The sequence below is a fragment of the Homo sapiens genome, chromosome 20, assembly GCF_000001405.40.
Source record: "Homo sapiens chromosome 20, GRCh38.p14 Primary Assembly".
In the NCBI taxonomy this organism is placed as follows: domain Eukaryota; kingdom Metazoa; phylum Chordata; class Mammalia; order Primates; family Hominidae; genus Homo; species Homo sapiens.
Window position 1 is genome coordinate 5,832,194 of NC_000020.11, and position 21,661 is coordinate 5,853,854.

The 21,661-nt window shown below is 40.6% G+C and overlaps 1 protein-coding gene across 5 annotated transcripts in view, besides 1 other annotated feature; it reads left to right on the forward strand.

Moving 5' to 3' along the window:
* SHLD1 (shieldin complex subunit 1) overlaps positions 1 to 21,661 on the forward strand; it is a 114,203-nt gene that overhangs the window by 82,001 nt on the left and 10,541 nt on the right. The window lies entirely within an intron of this gene.
* Positions 12,124 to 12,193: an enhancer, noted in NCBI's record as "active region_17532". NCBI's record gives its function as "activates an Ori minimal core promoter by ATAC-STARR-seq in GM12878 lymphoblastoid cells {active_cell/tissue: GM12878}" and the evidence as "EXISTENCE:reporter gene assay evidence [ECO:0000049][PMID:35858748]".

The window sequence follows — 21,661 nt, forward strand, 5'->3', positions numbered from 1 at the left end:
GCTTCCCAAAGTGCTGGGATTACAAGCATGAGCCTCTGCGCTGGGCCTCTCTTCATTTCTAGAGAATAATGGAAGTGAATCCAGGAGACAGACTTCTCCACATTGTTAAAAGCTCCTCGGGCAGAGTGGAACTGCACGTGTTGCCACTTTGATTTTCTTTACTCCAAATACAAAGGTGTAACTTGGATTAAGATCGGGGCTTTCACGTCTTGCTGGAAAATAGTAAGCCATAATTTGTAACTCAGCTCCTCTTATTCACCACTTAAATTTTATTTATTTAATTTTCTTTTTTAGAGACAGGATCTTGCTATGTTGCCTGGGTTGGTCTCAAACTCCTGGGCTCAAGTGATCCACCTGCCTCAGTCTCCTGAATAGCTGGGACTATAGGCATGTGTCATCACACCCAGCTACGGCTTAAATTTTTAAGATTAGTTTGGCTAGTATATACATTATGCTCCAAATCACGAAAAAAAAGTATTCTTCCGGGGTAAAACCATGCAGTCTACTAATATAATCATCCTCAGTCTCATCCTGAAAGCAGGGATCATACAAACCTGCTCAGCCTGCATGTGTACCCCTGAACTTAAAAGCTGGAAATCAAAATAATAAATAAATAAATAAATAAATAAATAAATAAATAAATAAATAAATAAATGGGGAAAAAAGCAGGTATCCAACATATTTTAGACCTTAAAATCCCATTAATCCTGGTCCTCTCCTGAGAATTATAACAGAAGATTTGCTTTTCCAGGTAGAGGGTATCTGAGCAGTTGTGCAAGGCTGTGCTGTTGCTTACATTTCTGGAACCATGCGGTGACTGGCCAGTGTTGCATGGCTGACGTGTCCTCCTTCTCCTGACCTGGAGCTCCTGGGCTGCTGTGCTCCTGGTGCATACACCATACAGTGCTAGTACTCTTGCTCTTTCCTCCTAAAAATAGACTCCTAAAACAGTCCTAAAATAGACTCCTCGGCTTCTCTCCTTTTTGACTTTTTTTCCACGAGACTCCTCTGAGCTTGTCCCCAGTTTTGCTTTAGACTCCTGAAATATTTATTTGTTTTTTAATATCTTAACTTTTATTTTAGGTTGAGGGGTACACGTGCAGGTTTATTATATAGGTAAACTCACAACTCGGGTTTGGTGTACAGATTATTTCGGACTTCCGAAATGTTGAAATAATACTCATTTAAATGAGGTTGTCCATTGGTAAGAAGAAAAATCACTCCTGCAACCCTGACAGACTGTTTCTCCTGACCTTTAAAAGACCTTAATGGGTACATTGTTTTGTTTGTTCCGCTCTGCCCTGGTTGAGGGCAATGTGACATTTGCATTATCTCTCTAGGCCTCTGCTTGATTATGTTGCTATAAATTACTGTCTGTCCTGAACAGAGTCCATCTAACTGAGTGTCCTGCTGCCTGTAGGAAGAGAGAGAGAGAGACAGAGACAGGGAGAAACAGAGAGAGAGAGAGACAGAGACAGGGAGAGACAGAGAGAGAGAGACAGAGACAGGGAGAAACACAGAGAGAGAGAAAATAGTTTTCTGGAAAAGAGAAAAGAAACATAATTTGGATTCATGTCTAGACAGAGATAGGGAGAAAAAGAGAGAGAAAGAGAGAGGGGGCAGGTGAGGGGCGGAATAGTTGTCCAGAAAAGAGAAAAGAAACATAATTTAGATTCACATCTTTGTCATTTCCATTTGCTCTAACGCTTAGCCTACATTCAGTTACCTAAAGTGGTCCTATAGCCCTCTCTTCTGGAACCCCATTCATCTCAGATAATACTTCTGTCATTGGCATTGAGGAGGTGAAACTTCAAGTGGTATTTACATTTGATTCCCTTCAGCTTTGTGACCCTTAGGATCCAGATATCTGCCTACTTTGTAGATGTGATATTTATGTTCTGCTGATTTTCAGTGAACAGTGCTCAATTTTGGGGAAAGCAGATCGGGAGCTACCATTCCTGTCTGAGCCTTCTCCTGGAGGCCGGGAGGGTGTCAGGACTTAGCAGGGAAAAGAGCTCCCTGCCTCCAGGAGAAAGGTTTATGGAAGAGTCTTCCTGCCTTCAGGAGTGGGTTCTCCTATCCTGTGAGTCCTTCTCTTCAAATATAACTTTTCCAAGTTAATTTTTTTGAATAGAGAAATTAGCATGTGTGACTTTTATGCAGAAGAACTTAGGAAAGAGATTATTTATATAATAATATAGGCAAAAAATGCTACAAACTCATCCAGCTGGGTTACATTCTAATTTGACCAATGAGCTGAGTCAAGTAGCATTCTTTTTTTGTTTTTTTAATTAAAAGTACTTGTCCTCAATGTGAAAAAACAATCTACAGAAGTACAGATGTTTGAGAAGAGTAATGGTAATGAAAACAGTAGTTAGTATTAATCAAGCTTAGTAGCACTTTGCCTGGATTGCCTCATCCCATCCTCTTACAGTTCTGTGGGCTAGATACTGTTGTGCAAAGGTCTTTGGTAAAGATCTGTTTGATGTTTTTCACCCTGTGTCTTAGTCTATTTGGGCTTCTATAACAAAATACTGTAGATTATGTGGCTTATAAGCAATAGAATATTATTTCTTACAGTTCTAGAGGCTGGGAAGTCCAAGATCAAGGTGCTAACAGATTCAGCATCTGGTGAAGACCACTTCCTGGTTCACAGAGGGCACCTTCTAGTTGTGCCTTTACATGGTGGAAGGGGCAGGGGGGCTTTCTGGGGTCTCCTTTATGAGTTCCATTCATGAGGACTCCTCCTTCATGACCTAATCATCTCCCAATGGCCCTATGTCTTAATACTATCACCTTGGAGGTTAGGATTTCAACATATGAATAGGGGAACACATTCAGATGATAGCAGGCTACCCTTCTCAAACTTATTAGAAAATGGAGTCCTTTTTTTTCATGGAAGCCCCACAACCATCCCTGAGAACATAGGTGGTATTCTGCAGACACAGTTTGGGAAATAAGAGAAGTCTACCTCTACACTGCTGGCTAGGGGTTGAGCTGGGAACAGACACATTTGCCTCCCCTTTGTACTATCTAGCTTTCCAGATTCTTCCCGCTAGTTGTGTTGATGGTGATTTGGGATTGTTCTTTCACATTCAAAGCTAGGGCTATACACTAATTCATTCATTCTCATTCACTAAAAAATATCTACCATCACACTGTGCCAGGAGACCATAGCTAGAACAGGGTCCCTGCCTCTGGGAAGTCCCCGTGCCATAAGAAAACAAACACAGATATTCAATGGGAGGTAAGACCTGCCAAGTACCATCTACTGAGCACTGCAGAAGCTGTGGTGGGGGCTGGCCAGCTCTACCTGGGGAACTGGGGAAGGCTTCCTAGGGGAGGGGATGGGCACAGCGTCCCCAGGGAGCACCAGGTGAAGAAAACTGGGAAGCAGAGAGTTGAGAATGTGTTTGGCAGCATGTGAGTGCCAGGGCTTTCAGCAGTGGGGGCTGGTGGAGGAGCACAGATGGCCTTTAAAGTCAACTCTGAGTCACTCTCTGAAATTACAGAAATTCAAAGAGAAGGATCTGGAAATCCTCCAACAAGTTATTTGACCTTCTGGTCTCTCAATAACCATTTGGTATCTAGCTGATAAATGGAAATTCTCTGCAAAATTGTGTTATACAGGAAAAGTTGCAGAAAAATTGTTAGAGAAAGAAAATCATTCTCCTGCCTTCACCTGTAAACCATAGAGCTCACATTTTTCCTAAGGGGCTTTATGCTAGCAACTTGCCCCTGGATTCTCCATTCATGCCTCAATCTACTAACATGACCGATCGGAGGTTAAATAAAACTTCCAAAGCAGGACCAGGAGTTATTCAGCTTCACTATGTAACAGTGGTTGAGATAGAAACTATTTTCTGTCTATTTTTTTTTCTCGTTGCCTTGACAACTGGTTGTTTTTTTTTTTTAAGCTTTTGATTTTTTTCAACAACATGAGCTGCTTCCTTTGGTTGAGCTGAGACATGTGTACAGATTTATATCTTATTCAGAGAGTCTCTAGTGTAAATGTTTACGAGATACCAATTTTTTATTTTTCAGAATCTTCAGTGTTGAACAGAGTAGATAATTGCACAAAACTGTTAGCCTGCCTGATTAACCAAACAAAGGCAAATCAGTAGTGATTTTCCATGTCTGATGTCAAATACTGTAAAAAATGATTCCAATTCATTTTTACACAATATCATGGAATATTTTAATATTTGGCTTTTTAATGTCCCTGACCAGGTCTGTGTGAAAGTTGTTTCCATATACCAGAAGTGCATGTCCTCCTTCCTGCACTCCCCCTTGCTCCCATGGCTCTAGCCACAGTGGCCTCTCATCCTTGCAAAGCTGTTCCCATCTCATGGCCTTTGCCATTTCCTCTGCCTGGAATCTGCCTACCCCGGATATTCGCATTGCCCGCTCCCTCCTTGCATTTATGTCTCTGATTCAATGCCACCTTCTCCTCCTGGACCTTCCTGTCTAAAACACCATCCTTACTTGTCACTGGCCAGTCAGGACGTGGGAGGATCCCTCTCTGGAAAAACAGTTCAGTCATCCTATATGAAACTCCCCAGACCATAAGCCCTACCCATAGCAAGAGCTTCCAATGAGCATTTTAATGCCTCACCCTTAGATTTGAACTCACAGCCAAAAATCACCAGCTATTTGAGGAAATCCCCTATTACAAAATATAGAGACCAAGACTGATAAATAAAGAACTTAAAAGAAACAGAGACAAGGATGGAGCAGGAGAAATCTGCAACAAAACAAAACAAACAAAAAAATGGAAAATGGGGCAATGGGGCAGAGGAAGGCATCCTAGAAATCATACAAGAAATATAGGAGTGGAACTGAGTGGGGCCCAGGTCAGCAGCTATGGAGCAAGCCTGGAGGGCAGCCAGGCCAACTGGAGCAATAGGACAGAAGATTCTCCGGGAGGGCTGGGGTCCTGAGGAGCTATCGCAACAGGCTACATGTGGAAATTTGTATTGAGAGGCTATTGGAGGGTATGGGTAAAATTAGGATACAGTTGACTCTTGAACAACAGAGGGGTTAGGAGTATTGGCCTCCCCTCCGCCCACCACCTGCAATAATTTTTGACTCTCCAAAACCTTTTTTTTCTTCCGCTTTTATTGTAAGCTCAGGGTTACCTGTGCAGGATGTGCAAGTTTGTTACATAGGTAAATGTGTGCCATGGTGGTTTGCTGCACACATCATCCCATCACCTAGGTGTTAAGCCCAGCGTCCATTAGCTGTTCTTCCTGATGCTCTCCCTCCCCCCACACACCCCCCACCTCCAACAGGCCCCGCTGTGTGTTGTTCCCCTCCATGTGCCCATGTGTTCTCATCATTCAGCTCCCACTTATAAGTGAGAACATGCGGTGTTTGGTTTTCTGTTCCTGCATTAGTTTGCTGAGGATAATGGCTTCCAGTTCTATCCATGTCCCTGCAAAGGACATGATCTCGTTCCTTTTTATGGCTGCACTGACTCCCCAAAACTTTAACTACTAACAGCCTGCTGTTGACCAGAAGCCTTACAGATCATATGAACAGTGGATTAACAACATAAATAGATTAGTATCTACATATGTTTTACACATTCATGACATACCTAATTTTTCTTATTTTTTTGATATTTTTAGGCTACGCAATTTGTCTGCAAGTTTTTTCAAATTGTTGCAAATCTCCAAAACATTTTCCAATATGTTTATTGAAAAGAATTCTCATATAAGTGGACCTGCACAGTTCAAACCTACCTTGTTCAAGGATCAGCTGTAGTTACAAAACAAAGCAGGCAAAGACGGAAAAAAAATACCTATTTACCACAGAAGCAATAACATTGTACAGTAAATGAAACGTAGTACATTTAGTAGCGATCAATCTTTGTATAGTTATGATAGTATAAACACTGAATATTGCTCTAATAAAAATTGGATATGAGCATATTTAGAGAATGGGGCAAGGGAAGCACCTGTGTATCTGTGCATATATGAGTTTGTGTGCATGTGTGTGCCTGAGACTTATATGCTTACCTGCTGTAATAGGATGTCAACACATAATGTCTAAAACTGATACATTATCATATATGAGCATATTAATTAGACATATAAAGATTTTAAAAGCCAAAAGGAATAGTAAGTTGGAGTGGTAGATTATGGGAAATGGAAAGGAGAATGGAAGGAATAGAAAACTTCTTTTTCATTGTAAGACTTTTAGTCTCATCTGACTTTTAAAAGCTATGAGTATATATTATGTAGATAAAAATAAAAATTAGTTATGAATTAAAAGATAAATTTTGGCAGGGTGCAGTGGCTCATGCCTGTAATCCCAACACTTTGGGAGGCCAAGGCAGGCAGATCACCTGAGGTCAGGAGTTCAAGACCAGCCTGACCAACATGGCAAAACCCCATCTCTACTAAAACTACAAAAATTAGCCAGGCATGGTGGCAGGTGCCTGTAATCCCAGCTACTCGGGAGGCTGAGGCAGGAGAATTGTTTGAGTCTGTGAGGTGGACGTTGCAGCGAGGCAGAGGTTGCAGTGAGCTGAGACGGCGCCACTGCACTCCAGCCTGGGTGACGGAGCGAGACTCTGTCTCAAAAATAAATAAAGAATTAAAAATAAAAGATAAATTTTAAGCAGCCCTGCTTCTGTGTACATGTCACTGATAGTTTGATGTGCATTTGATTAATATTAAATTTTGTCCAGCATGTGGCTGATGTCCTTGTCAGGCTCATGTGTTTAACTAAACCCATTTTAACTTGCTCCTGGAGTAATTAACTCAGACTCACCTTGCTGGAAGTCATGCTGAAGATATCTATCATTTCCTCCTACACCATGGAGATAGATTGGACTGTGGCTCATGCTAGTTGAGGTTGTATGCTTATTAGAAATGGAGTAGATGCATGTGATATTAAATTGAGCTCTTTAATTTCTTTAGATTTAATGACGTACCTTTGTCATGTACTTAATCTTCAGCAAATATTTACCCTTCCAAAACTGGCAGATTTGCATTTTACAACTTGTCATGTCAAATGAAATATTTTCTCTTTTCTTTGCCCCTAGAAGGATTTCTGCTCAAAATTATAATCTTTTAAAAAATAGCTGACACATTCTCCTTTGTGGGGAATATTCAACATTTCTATCCTGTGATTTGAAACTGACCCTTCTCACTTCTCTCCAGCTTTAGCCTATACATATTGATATATTTATTTTGGATACAGTTTAATGTTTTTATTCTTATATCTGGGTCATAGAGAGATGAATGGGTAAATGAAGAGATGGATGAATGGATAAATTAGATAGAAAGATAGATAGATAGATAGATAGATAGATAGATAGATAGATGATAGATAGACAGATAGACAGAAAAGCAGACCAAAGTATACCACAGATGTGTGGAAGTACATGTTCAGATAACAGAAAATACACTGCAAGCTTTAGTCTCAAGCTCCCTAGACCATAAAAGCTTATAGAATGGTCAGCTTTCCAAAGCAGAGGCTAAATAACTGTCATTCTGTTGCATCCAACATAGCTTCCCAAACTTTGTTGATGTAGGATTAGTAAGATGTTCCATTAGAAACTCCTAAAATAACTTCAGGATGCTTTTAAGTATTCTTTTCATTTGTGCCATGGAACTAATGTGAGGAGCTGGCAGTTGGAGGTGGTTATCGAAGCCTGGGAATGGATGTCTCCAGTCACTGTTTGGTGGAAGAACCTTTTTCAGGTTGTCCCTGCGCCCCCACAATACTTGAGAACACTTTCTAGACCAGAATAAAATGCTCAAGTAAATTAATGACATCTGTTTGCATTTTGAAGATGAGAAACTGTGAGACTTTTAATTCCTAGAGGTAATAGCAGGATAATTGAGTACAGTAAATTAGAAGTTGCTATTTATGAGCAAAAGTATGTATGACTAGAGACTTCATCCCCATGAGCTTGCCTGTTCACCATATTGTTATTTTCTTGCATGCTTTATTAGTCTTTGGAGCCATACTTCTTGAGTTTGAATCCTGGCTCTGCCACTTAACTAGCTAGCTGCATGCCTTTGAACAAGTTTCGTAATCTCTGTGCCTCAGTTTCATAATTTGTGAATCTGTTGATTAGTCCACTCAATACCTATTCCAATCCCCTTTTAGCTTGATTTTTTTTTTCATCTGACAGAGAATGGAAACTTTCCATTTCCAGAATCCCTCAAAGCTACTGTTCAGGGTTTGTTAACTAAATGCATTTCCATAAACCTTTGAATTCAGATCTAGATTGTGTGGGATGAGAGATGGGACATAGGACCTTCATTTTTTGCTGGTATGGATAGTGGCAGAGGCAGCATCGTTCTGGAACTAGTCGCTGTAGTGATAGCGTCCTGATTTAACAGTCAGCTTTTTTATTGGGAAGCTTCCAGTTGTTAGTTTGGAGCAACATCTGAACCGGCAGCTTCCTAATTCTTTAGGTTCTTAATAGTGATCAAGGCAACAGCCCCTTTGGCCGTTCATTTCTGCTGAATGGTTTAAGAAGTAATTCCTAAAAGCTAGGCCTAAAGTCCATTTCTGCAGCTCTCCTAACAATGATGTCAACTATGTGTTCCTTAATATGTCTTTTTGCTTGAAGCAGCCAAAGTGATTTATGTTGGTTGTAACTAAAAACCCAGAAGAATCAACTTACCTAATAGGGCTTTTGTGAGTTGTAATAAGGTAAGGCATTTAAAGTGCTTAGAACATTATCTGGATTGCTATTTCTTTTTTTTAATATTCTTAGGGCTTGTTCTGGCCTTAGTCAATGGAACACCTACAACCATAAATAAAAGATATTTATTAGTTTCTTTGTTCATTCATTCATTCATTTATTCATTCACTGAAACAAATATTTAGTGAATGTCTTGTCAAGGCATGTTTCAGTAGCCTTAGGATAGTGGTTACCAATTAGAACCATCTAGGAATCTTTTTGAAAAAACTTAATTTCTATGCCACATCCATAACTTACTGAAAATAGCGAGTGTGTGTGTGTGTGTGTGTGTGTGTGTGTGTGCACATGCATATGTATACATAAATATTTTTTTAATTGGAATACCATTTACATATAGTAAAGTACATAAATCTTATGTGTTACAGTTTGGTGAATTTTTATATATGTGGGTGTATACCCACATAACCACTACCTAGATCAAAATATAGAAAAACAGAAATTTGCATGAAAGATTTATTGTGTGCATGGGTGTTTTGGGGGCCCCATTAGGAGCTAAAGCTTCAAATGCATTTGAGGTTTTGCCACTTAGAGGTCAAAAAAATTTAGTCATCCAGAATGACCAGTATAATTAGGTTATTTTTCATTTCTTTTTCTTCTTCATAGCATCCTTCAAATTTGTATTCCTTTTTAGGTTTATGCATTTATATGTGAAATGAAATTTATGGAGAACCTTAGATAACAGAAAATTCTAAAATGTTAATAAGGCAGTAAATGTTATCAGTAATAACTCCATGACTCATAATTTCTGCCTCTGTTTATCTTATGATTGGCATAATTTATTGACTAAAAGTACATTTAACTGCTTTCTTGAAGCTTAAACAGCTTCTTTCTCATGATCTCTTCAAAGAGTGAATATCATGAAAGAGTAGAAATAATTATTTTCCCTTTTTTCCAAAAGAGTGTTTGGAATAGATATCTTTGTCTGTGGGCCAATGGCTGCACACTCAGTAGTGCAATGCAGAGGCTATTAGAGCAGCACGCATGAGCTGAGTTAGGAAGATAAAGTTACTTAAAAAGCAAATGGAAATAGTTGACTATGGAGAAAGAGAACATTGTCTACAAAACATTAATAGCCTTTACAATTTTTATAAAACCAACCTAGAACAACTTTGAAGTTGAATGATTTTGCATAACTGGCTTATTATGGAATGAAACTTTCAGAAACAAAATATAGAGTGGAGATGAACTGTATACTTTTAAGATGATCACGTGTGATTTGAGATCAGAGTCTAGCATTGGAATACTGTTTCAAGGATAGCTGGACTACCTTGGTGAATTAAATAGATGTGTCACTAAAGGAATAGAAAACCTTGAAATTGTATGTAGCTCCTTCCTCTACCTTCAGATAAAATTTCTGTACATCAGCCTAAGTGGTAAGAATATTGTCTATTTCAAGCACTTTTAGAAAATGAGCTTTGGATATAAGGGCAATCTGGGTATGACATTTATTATTTTGGTCGATCTGGCCAGTTAAGAGACTGATGTCTTAACTCCTTCACCATTGCCTGCACGTCCCTAAGTTGGTAATTATTTTCTTGGAACTTTGAAGGTCTTGTTTCATTGCCTTCTTGTTTACAGAACATTGTGATTAATAAATTTGAGGATTTGTGCTTTATCAGTTCTGAGAAATTCCCACCCATTAACTCGTTGTCTCATTGTGCATTGCCTTTCCTTCGTTCTCTCTGTTAGCTCTTTCTGAAATTCCAATTACATGCATGTTGGACCATCTCACTTTGACTTCCATATCTCTTATTTTTTTCTCTATCTCTCTCTCTATGCTAAATTGTAAGTAATATCTTCAACTCTGATTTCTATTTTCTAATTATCTTTCCACTGGACTCTAGTCTTGTTTTACCTATTTGCTGAGGTATAAATACCTATTACTATATTTTTTCTTTTTCTGTAATTTAACATTTTCTCATTGTGCTTTTTGTTTATTTTTCTCATTTACCTGTTCATTTTTTGTAGTCTCTTGTTCCTAACTCAAACTTTCAACTTCCCATTTTATTTCTTTAACATATTAAGCATATTTGCCTTATATCCTGATTGTGTTAACGCCAATATCTGAAGCCACCATGGGCCTTGTTTGCTGGCTCACTTTGCTTACTCCCACTCGGTAAAGGTAGATTTGTTTTTTCCCTGTGCATTTTGAGCTCATGTTCAATGGAACTCTGTGTGGACGGTTTCTTTTGGTGTTTGGTTGAAAGTACATCCCTCTAAGGTTTACGCTTGCTTTCACTAGACATATGAGGGCATGTCAGTCTGGAACCATATTAAAATAAATAGCTGGCTTAGAGGTTTTTAGACCACAAAAATAGTTTCAATTTGAGCACAAACACATGTGAGTTCTGGCTCATGATCAATTGTTTTTTTCTTTTTTTTTTTTCCTTTTATTTTCTTTTATCAGGTTAAATCTTGGGGCAGATATTTCTTTTTTTTCTCTCTCTCTCTACCCAGAGCCAAGGCCAAGACAAGTTTTTGTTTGTTTTGTTTTACTATAACCTTTTACAAGGCGTATTTTGTTCTCTAGTTCACTTTTTCTCTGGTGGCGTAACTTCAGGGCTCTCAGCTTTATGTGGTGATTTCTTGTTAAGCACCCCCACCTTGCCATGGCCCTAGGCTTTGTGTCCTGAACCCTGTGTGGACGTTGAAGCTGACATGCTAGGTCTAGACACCAGCTCAGGGTTTGCAGACCTCTCAGAACTTCTATTCTCATTTTGCTTTTGGTCTGTACAGGCTTTCCTTGCTTTGTTACCAGCTCAGTCAAACATTTTAAAAGATTTTTCAAAAATATTTTATCCAACAGTTTTAGATGTTTGGTAACAGGAAGGATTTTCAGAATATCTTGTCTACCATATTCTTTTGTCAAAAATAAGTAACTATTTCTGTGACCACACTAGAGGTATCCTCGCGAAGGTGGAAATTCAATTCCATGTATTCCTCACTTCTAGCCCTTAATAACTCATGTTAGAAAATTTCCCAACACAAATGCATCCCAAACCCATCTTTCTCTGTCACTTAGCCTCAGTTTTCACTTGTCTTCTGTCTATATTCCTTTTCTGCGTAAGTTGTATCACGCAAATTTTAGATTTTGTGGCTTTTTTCCAGTTTCTTTGAGTTTTCTGTGTTCTCCAATGTTATGTGCTTCAGGAGAGAAGGCTCAAAGCTTTGCTCTCCTTAAATTCAAGTGTAAATGGGAGGCATGGGTGTTGAGAGTGATCTCCTATAACTGATCTCATGGTGTTTCCTTCTTGTCTTGCCCGTTTAATTCAGCGCTGTGATTCTGACTCAGCCAGCAGTCATTCTGTGAACTCTAGATCTTCTCTGCCTATTTTCACAATTTTTTGTTTTATTTTTAATGCTGCCTGTTTCTCTTCTTCAGTGTATTTACTAACTCAAACTTTTCCTGAAGCTCTTTGCTTGATTAATAGCTGTCATCAACTTACAAAAACCACTGCCACCATCAGGCTCTCTGGAGGTTGAGTCATTTCAGTCCCACCCACATCCTGGTGCAGGTCCCCCTTAGAGGGATGTGTTTGGGGATGGCTGGAGGGCTCTACCAGCCTGGGCTTCTGTGTTTGACACTCCCACACACTGAGGCACCTGCTGTTTCTGCCCACACTAGGATCATGTTTACTTTGCAGAGGGTGCACCAGGGACCTCTGTATAATCATAGTCCTCCTGCTGTGAGATGGGTAATGTTCACTATGATTCATCCCTTCAACTCTAATGCCAGGATGGGGCAGTAGCTATTGGTAAGGCTGATGTTCCTTCCAGTTACAGTTACAAATAAATGCTTGTTTGTCTGGAGTTTCCTTTTGATATAATATCTATCACTGTGTAGTAGACATATATATATATATATATATATATATATATTTTTTTTTTTTTGAGACACAGTCTCACTCTGTCGCCTAGGCTGGAGTGTAGTAGTGCGATCTCGGTTCACTGCAACCTCCGCCTCCTGGGTTCAAATGATTCTTGTGCCTCAGCCTCCCGAGTAGCTGGGACTACAGGTGCACGCCACCATGCCTGGCTAATATTTTTTGTATTTTTAGTAGAGATGGGGTTTCACCACGTTGGCCAGGCTGGTCTCAAACTCCTGACCTCAGGTGATCCACCTGCCTCGGCCTCCCAAAATGGTGAGCTTACAGGCATGAGCCACCGTGCCCAGCCAGACATATATTAATAGAAGCATTCACTATTCACTTTGAAAAATCCCAGACGTTAAAGAACAAGTACCTTAATACTCTAACAACTCTGCTGTGGGTACTATTCTTGTTACTAAGGTACTAATTATAAAGTATCTTTTATTTATTGAGCACTTAGCATGTGCTGGGCTTCCTGCTAATAAATCATTTAATCCTTACAAGAGCCCTATGAGGTAGGAGCTGTTACTAACCCCATCTTATAGATGAGGACATGGAGATTCAGAGATGTGAAGTAACTTGCCCAGGATCTCATAGCCAGTAAAGGACTTGCTAGGACTCAAACTCAAGGCTTCTTCCCAAGTCCATGCTCACAGACATCTCTTCTCTTAGGACAAAACCAGATTTCTGATCTATGGCAATGAACTTTTGCAAAGGCCAGAACTTAAGTCTACCTTACAAGGTAACATATTTGAAAGTAAAACTGTGTTGCCTGCATTGCACAGAACTGATGTTAGAATACCTTTGCGAAAACTGCTTTGAGAACCAGCATGTGTAACATAAGAAAATCAATTTTCTTTTGTAGACAAACCTTGCCTTTCACCCCAGGCCATGTTATCCTGCTTGATCACCTACATTATTTACAGATTTCACTCCTCATGCCTCTTAACAGTTTCTAAAAAGGAGATTCTGTCCCCTGAGGATGGAGATTTGTCACCAATGAGGACATTCATAAGAAGCTTCCAGAGGGAGTGAAGATGACTCCTAAGGGGCTCCAACAGGTTCTCAGCGATGTCATTTTACAAATAAGAGCTCGGCCCTTGGGGTGATTACTTTAAAGGGGAAGTGCTCGGCTGTATCAGTACATTCTAGTGTGTTTGTTTACAATCCATTCTCTGACTTCATAGATATACTTAATGTCGACTTGATATGGAATGAAATCTGTTTACAAAAATCCACATCTAACAAAACTTCTATGGCATATGGAAAAACGCCAGACTTTCCTCATCTATTACAGATGTTACCTTCTCTGGGAAAGGCTTATTGCAAATGTCAACACTGAAACTGGCTCTGTTTTGATAGAAATCTTGTTCTGTTTCTCTTTAAATCTAAGAACTACCAAATATTGACTTGTTGATTTGGACAGATTGTGGGAGGCCCACAATCTCCTCTTGAAGGAAAAAGGATCAGGTTTCTGCTTCCCCAGGAAACGGGGAATTATCTCTCTGCTGAATATGTATGTATCAAGCAACCCTCTGGTGTCATTTTTAAAGTGCTTATATTTTTCTTACGCGTAAGGTTGACGTTTGAAGCATCATCTTAATTAGCTGCTCACATTTAATGTGACTTGGCCGCAGTAAACAGTCGTAATCAAAATAGCAATGTTGCCATAGCAACCAAGATCCAACTCAATTGCTTTTCCTTTCTACTCACAAGTGCTGCTTACCATCTAGGCAAGGATATGAAACAAATCTACTGAAACCTCGTGTGTGAAATGAAAGTTTAAAAACCACTGGGGAAAAACATCCCTGAATGATTGTTTTAAGTGTTTCAGTGAAGCTCCTGGCTCCAAATGGCTCCTGAAGGAAATTGCCTCCCTGGTTCTCTTGTCTGACAGCTTTGCCTCCTGAGAGCTGTTCCCCACACGTGGACGGGATCGGGGGAACCATAGATTTATTCCAGCTGAAGCTGCAAGGTCCAGAAAGTGGGAGAGTTGATCCAGATAATTCCCCATGGCTTTTCTAGCTATAAAGTGTTAGGTTCCGATCCTTTAACTTGGTTATTTCTTTATTGCAAAATGCAAAACCACGCTGTTTTAAAACAAGCCTCGGGGTAAGCCTCAGTTTCATGGAAAAGAAGACAGAGGATTATTAATCATTTTTATGCTGTAAGCCGGTAGTTCCTAAATTTTTATTATCTGAATCCTTTAGGGAAGCCCTCGAACTCCCCTGCTCGGCCCATCATCACCAGCACTTGTTCTAATGACGTCAAATGATAGCCATATGAAGATCATATTAGGGTTTTTTTTTTCTTTGTTGTTAATTATTGCATATCTTGGTATGAAGATCATATTAATGAAGAAAATTAATGAGCAGATAGACCTTTTCTGTGTTCTAATTGCCAACCCCTTCTTCCAGTGATCCTGGAGACTTGGTCTTGGTCTCAATTTTCTCATCTGGAAAATAAGACACAGTAGAGCTGGATATTTTCCCTGCTCTTGGATCCAGCTTGGTACATGACTTCTTTATTAAATAGAATAGAAAACCAGTATCACCTTTGGTAGTGATAAGCCGATGCCGTGAGGGTTGTTTTGCTTGAGAAAACAAAAACAAACCCTGTGGCTTCTCCGGAGGTCCTTGTTTCACCCTCACCTTCTTTTTATCGCTTTCCATGTAAGAGACGGAAATAATCTAATTGTGAGATTAATCAGAGAAATCAGACAAAAATGTTTTCTGTGTAATTCATTTTGTATGCCATTAAAAAGAAATAAGATAAAAAGAGAGAGTGAAAAAAAGTAGGAACATGGTCAATAATATGAATAAGCAGTTCACAGAAAAGGAAACACAAGTGGCCCCTAACTGTATGAAAAGCAGCTCCGCCATAGAAGTTGTCAGGGAAATGGAAACCCAAATTGGAGATACAACTTTAGTGTCTGACAATATCAGAATTTGGCAAAGATGTGGAGAAACAGGAAAACCCAAACACTGCTGGTGGGGGTGTGATTGTTATTCTACAACCATTTTGGAGAGCAATTTGGCAGGATCTAGTCAAGTCGAAAATGCACATTCCCTTCGATTCCATAATTCTCCTTTTGGATGTATTTCCGGAGAAAGTCTCCTGATACATGTGCACAAGGCGGTATTTATCAGGAGGTTCACTGAGGCCTTATTTGTGATAGTGAAAATTAAATATAGCCTACCTGTCTATCAGAAAAGAATGGATGAAAAATAATGTAGCATGTTCCTATATTAGAATACTATAGAGCAGTTTTACATAATCAGCAATGGCTAAAAGTAAAACATCATAAAGTAGCATGCAAAACTTTGTATTTTGAAAACAAAATGCAAAACTTTGCATATTGAAAGTTAAAATGACTACCACACACAAAGCAACACTCTTGCATATGGATACATATATATGTGTGTGTATGTGTGTATATATTTATATGGTATCAAAAATGGGCTGAGGGCTGGGCATGGTGGCTCATGCCTGTAATCCCAGCACTTTGGGAGGCCGAGGCGGGCAGATCACTTGAGGCCAGGAGTTTGAGAACAGCCTGGCCAACATGGCAAAATCCCCTCTCTACTGAAAATACAAAAATTAGCTGGATGCCAGCTACTAGGGTGGCTGAGGCACAAGAATCACTTGAACCCGGGAGGCAGAGATTGCAATGAGCCAAGATTAATTTTTAAAAAGTTGGGGAGGGGCTTTTGGTCAATGTCAAAACCACAACTACTTTTGCACCAACCTATAATATCTGTGAAGAAACAGTCAGCTTTAAGTGTTTCATAAGAAGAAAGTTTTGAAGCAAATAGGACAATGTGTTCATTGCCAATTTGGGGTGGTGTGAGCTTGGATGTTACAGTTCTCTGTTAATTTTTCAAGAAAAATATAAAATGCCAAAGTAGAAGATTGCTTACAAATCAGAACATTGGTCTTATTAAATTGCCCTGGCGCCTACTTTTAGGACTATTTACTAAACACACCTGTCTTTGTTTTTTTTCCGGCATTCATTTTATTCCTCCGTGGTGGCCTCTTAGAGGACCGCGTCCTCTGCTCATGGCATCTGTGTGTCATTAGGATGAAGGGTGATAGCATATGCCACTTTCCCTCTGAGTGATTCATCCAGTTTGAACTTTCAGATATAAACAAGTACAGAGACTGTGGTTTCAAAAGCACCTGACCAAACCATCCATCCCTTTGAAATGTTAATTTGTATTAAATATCTTGATATCCACACACTCTCACTTTGTGAGGATGTGGTTTTGTCCTTTAAAGGAACAGTTGCAAATTCTAAAATATATGAATCGTGGAAGGCAGGGTTGCTATTAGGAAAAAGGAAGCTTAAGTTTATTGTTTTTCTGTAACTAATTTTATGTAACTAATAAGATAGGATGTAAGGTGCCCTAGAACTCCAACCCTGGTGTTACGACGCAGCAGGGAAAAGCCAGACTAAACCAGAAAGAGAACTCCAGCGAGGTGCCGATGGTTCAGAGTGAATCAGGGCCAATTCACTTGCTGGACAGTAACCAAAAGGTTTGTACAGCTAGGAAGTGGGAGAAATGCCAGTGGTGAAAACAGGGAAAAGGAAAGGAGGATTGGCTTGGAGTGTCATAGGACAAATCCGTGGAGGTTTAGCCAAAAACAAAAGTCTGTAGACACCTTATTGTTTATAACATGGACTGGGATGATTTCCAGCATCAAATCTCAGCCCTCTGGGACATAACTGTGTGGTAGGAACTTTCCACTGTTAACCCAGGTATATCAGCCCCACTCCTCCAGCACCAGGTTGCATAATGTGTCATAATACATGTATACATGTAATGAATTGTGTGATCAAGGGCCCTCTAGAAAATGAAAAGGGGTGCCATTAATAATTCATTGAGGGGCCGGGCGCGGTGGCTCACGCCTGTAATCCCAGCACTTTGGGAGGCCGAGGCGGGTGGATCATGAGGTCAGGAGATCGAGACCATCCTGGCTAACAAGGTGAAACCCCGTCTCTACTAAAAATACAAAAAATTAGCCGGGCGCGGTGGCGGGCGCCTGTAGTCCCAGCTACTCGGGAGGCTGAGGCAGGAGAATGGCGTGAACCCGGGAAGCGGAGCTTGCAGTGAGCCGAGATTCCGCCACTGCAGTCCGCAGTCCGGCCTGGGCGACAGAGCGAGACTCCGTCTCAAAAAAAAAAAAAAAAAAAAAAAATTCATTGAGGCTAGGGTGATGGCTTATGCCTGTAATCTCAGCACTTTGGGAGGCCGGAGCAGGAGGATCACCTGAGCCCAGGAATTCAAGACCAGCCTGGGCAACACAGCAAGACCCCGTCTCAATAATAATAATAATAATAATAATAATAATAATAATAATTAACTGAGACAACAGGCCTAAACCAGGACTGTCCTGGGCAAACTTTCCAGTCACTCTATTGAGTACCAGTCCCTCTAGTAAGAGCACACGTTTATGGAAAGGAATGCCTGAAGTTGAAAGGTTAGCAGAAGTGTTTACCTGGCTTCTTAGTCTAGCCCCCACGCCCTCCAGAGCCTAACCCCATTTCTTCCTCTCTTGTAAGGATTCTCTGCACCTTCCAGACCACCTCTCACTAGGCTCTTGGGCATTCTCATGTCTGCACCTAGCACTGGGCTTCCCCTCCCTGAAGTAACTTTCTTCCTCGACCTGGTCTGTCTGAGGATGACTTGCCTTCCCAGTTCCAGCTTTTTTTAGTTTTAATTTTTTTTTTTTTTTTTGAGATGGAGTCTTGCTCTGTCGCCCAAGTGGGAGTGCAGTGGTGTGATCTCGGCTCACTGCAACCTCCACCTCCCGGGTTCAAGCAATTCTCCTGCCTCAGCCTCCCGAGTAGCTGGGATTACAGGTGTGTGCCACCACACCCAGCTAATTTTTGTATTTTTAGTAGAGACGAGGGTTTCACCATGTTGGCCAGACTGGTCTCTAACTCCTGACCTCGCGATCTTCTTGCCTGGGCCTCCCAAAGTGCTGGGATTACAGGCATGAGCCAACGCACCTGGCGCCCAGTCCCAGCTTTACTTCTCATCCGGCTTTACTCTGCATTGCCTCCTGGAACTTGGCCATCCTTCACTGAGCTGAACCTGTGCCTTGGCTGGTCGATGCTCCATAATTATTGAGTATGAAAGGGAGGGACAAGTGGGCCACTTTGGAAGGCTGGTCCTTGCTTCTTTGCAGGAGTGGTCTCCAGGGGCAGCTGGCCAAGGAGGACAATACAGCACACAGACCAACTAGTATGGACGTCTCATGCTCTCTAACAGTGGGGGACATTGTAGCACAGCACAAATCAACATGGCTGCCATCCGAATGCCACCTGATCTCTGGGAGCTTCAACACAAATCTTCAGGAAAGATTATTGGAACCAAAGCTTTCTTAAACCACAACTATAAAGAATGTCTATCCAGGAATGGTGGCTCATATTTGTAATCTCAGCTACTTGGGAGCCTGAGGCCAGAGGATCACTTAAGCCCAGGAGTTTGAGACCAGCCTGACCAACATGGTGAGACCCCATCTCTACAAAAAATTTTTAAATATTAGCTGGGCATCATGGTGGTGCATGCCTGCAGTTCTAGCTACTCAGGAGGCTGAGGTGGGAGGATCCCTTGAACCTAGGACTTCGAGGCTACAGTGATCTATGATCATGCCACTCTGCTCTAGCTTAGGTAACAGAGTGAGACCCCTGTCTCCTTAAAAAAAAAAAAAAGAAAAGAGAAGTCTACACCAGCCGTTGTCCAATAAAAATATTATGTGAGTAACATAGGTCATTTTAAATGTTCTAGTAGCTATAGTTTAAAACATAAAACAAAAAAGAAGAAAAAATAAAAACCTAAACTATTAATTTTAATAATATGTTTTATCTAACTCAATATATCCAACATATTTTCATTTTAACATGTAATTGACATTTTTAAATTACTGAGATATATATTTGATATCGTTTGGATGTCTGTCCCGTCTAAATCTCATGTTGAAATGTAATCCCCAGTGTTGGAAGATGGGGCCTGGTGGCGGGGGGGCATTTTTAAATTTTTAATTAAATTTTAATTTAATTAAAATTAAATTAATTAACATCTTTAGGAAATATCCCTGAGTAGTATTGTGTTTGGGCCATGAGGGTGGATCCCTCATGGCTTGGTGCTGTCCTCGAAATAGTGAGTGAGTTCTCATGAGACCTGGCTGTTGAAGAGTGTAGCGTCTCACACCCCACTCTCTCTCTTGCTCCTACTTTGGCTGTGTGACATGCCTGCTCCAGCTTCACCTTCCACCATTAATAAAAGCTCCCTGAGGCCTCCTTAGAAGCCTAGCAGATGCCAGCGCCATGCTTGTACAGCCTGCAGAACTATGAGCCAATTAAACCTCTTTTCTTTATAAATTACTCAATCTCAGGTATTTATTTATAGCAACACAAGAACGGACTAATACAATATTATTTTTTCATCCTAAGTTTTTGAAGTCTGGTGTGATTTTCTGCTTATGGATCCATTCAGACTGGCTACATTTCAAGTGCCCAGTGCTACATATGGCTAGTGGCTGACTGCTGTATTGGACAGTACAGATCTAGATGCATTATGTTGCTCAAATCACCTTCCTTTCCTTCCTTCCTTTCCCTCCCTTCCTTCCTTCCTTCCTTCCTTCCTTCTCTCTCTCTCTCTGTCTTTCTTTCTTTCTTTTGAGACAGAGTATTGCCCTGTCACCCAGGCTGAAGTGCAGTGGTGTGATCTGCAACCTCCACCTCCTGGGTTCAAGACAGTCTCCTGCCTCAGCCTCCTGAGTAGCTGGGATTACAGGCATATGCCACCACTCCCGGCTAACTTTTGTATTTTTAGTAGAGACGGGGTTTTGCCATGTTGGCCAGGCTGGTCTCTAACTCCTGACCTCAAGTGATCCGCCTGCCTCAGCCTCCCAAAGTGCTGGGATTACAGGCGTGAGCCACTGCATCTGGCCTCAAATCACTTTCATTAGAGTGTGTAGACTTCCTTACTTTTATTGCTATTATAAAGTTTTTTAAAAAAATCCTTGAACTATGTCAGTCTTTAGGAAATATCCCCGAGTATTATGTGTGTTGGGACTAGAGAGGAGTTTGGCTACTCATACTTTTAACTTTTGTTGCTTGTGTTTCTCATTCAGAAGTGGTTACCTTTGTTTCATTCATTTGTTTATTCATTCCACAAATGTACCAAGTTCCTGGGCTCTGGAATTATTAAACATACAGGAAAGAGGTCTATTGTGTATTAAAGGTTTATTATGCCTATGAAAATAAAACTCATCAAATAAAAACATCCAAATTTTTAAATATACTGGGTATCTACCATGTGCCAGACACTGTGTTAGGCCCTGGGGAAACAGCAGGTAACAAGAGAGACAAAAATCCTTGAGTGGGAGAAGATAGAAAATAAACAAATGGTCGGGCATGGTGGCTCACTTGAGGTCAGGAGTTCAAGACCAGCCTGGCCAACATGGCGAAACCCCATCTCTACTAAAAATACAAAAATTAGCTGGGTGTGATGGTGCACGCCTGCAGTCCCAGCTACTCGGGAGGCTGAGGCAGGAGAATCGCTTGAACCTGGGAGGCAGAGTTTGCAGTCAGCCAAGATCGCGCCACTGCACTCCAGCCTGAGCGACAGATCGAGACTCCATCTCAAAAATAAATAAATAAATAATAAACAAATCGTGTGTGTGTGTGTATTTAGGTGATATTAGGTTTGTTGTTTTTCATTCAAGACCTTTTATGAAAATAGTTACAAGGCCACGGTTATCTGTTTTTTCCTTAATCTAAAACTTTGACTGATTGGGTTGTTTAGGTGACAGAGTGATCCAAACTTTTATTACTGATGTAAGTATACCCTCAGTAGTGTAGTCCAGGGTTGGGCTGCTGTCATCTACTAACCTGCCCATTAGTGTCAGAAGGTTTGCCTGGGTATTCCCTAGACTATGTCCCCTGCCTCTGTTGCTCAGGGTGATCTTTGATAAACACCCTAGCCAGCACTGCAACCACCTTTTATTTGCCTGTTCATAATAGCAGAGTCTCCACGTCTACTTTTTTTTTTTT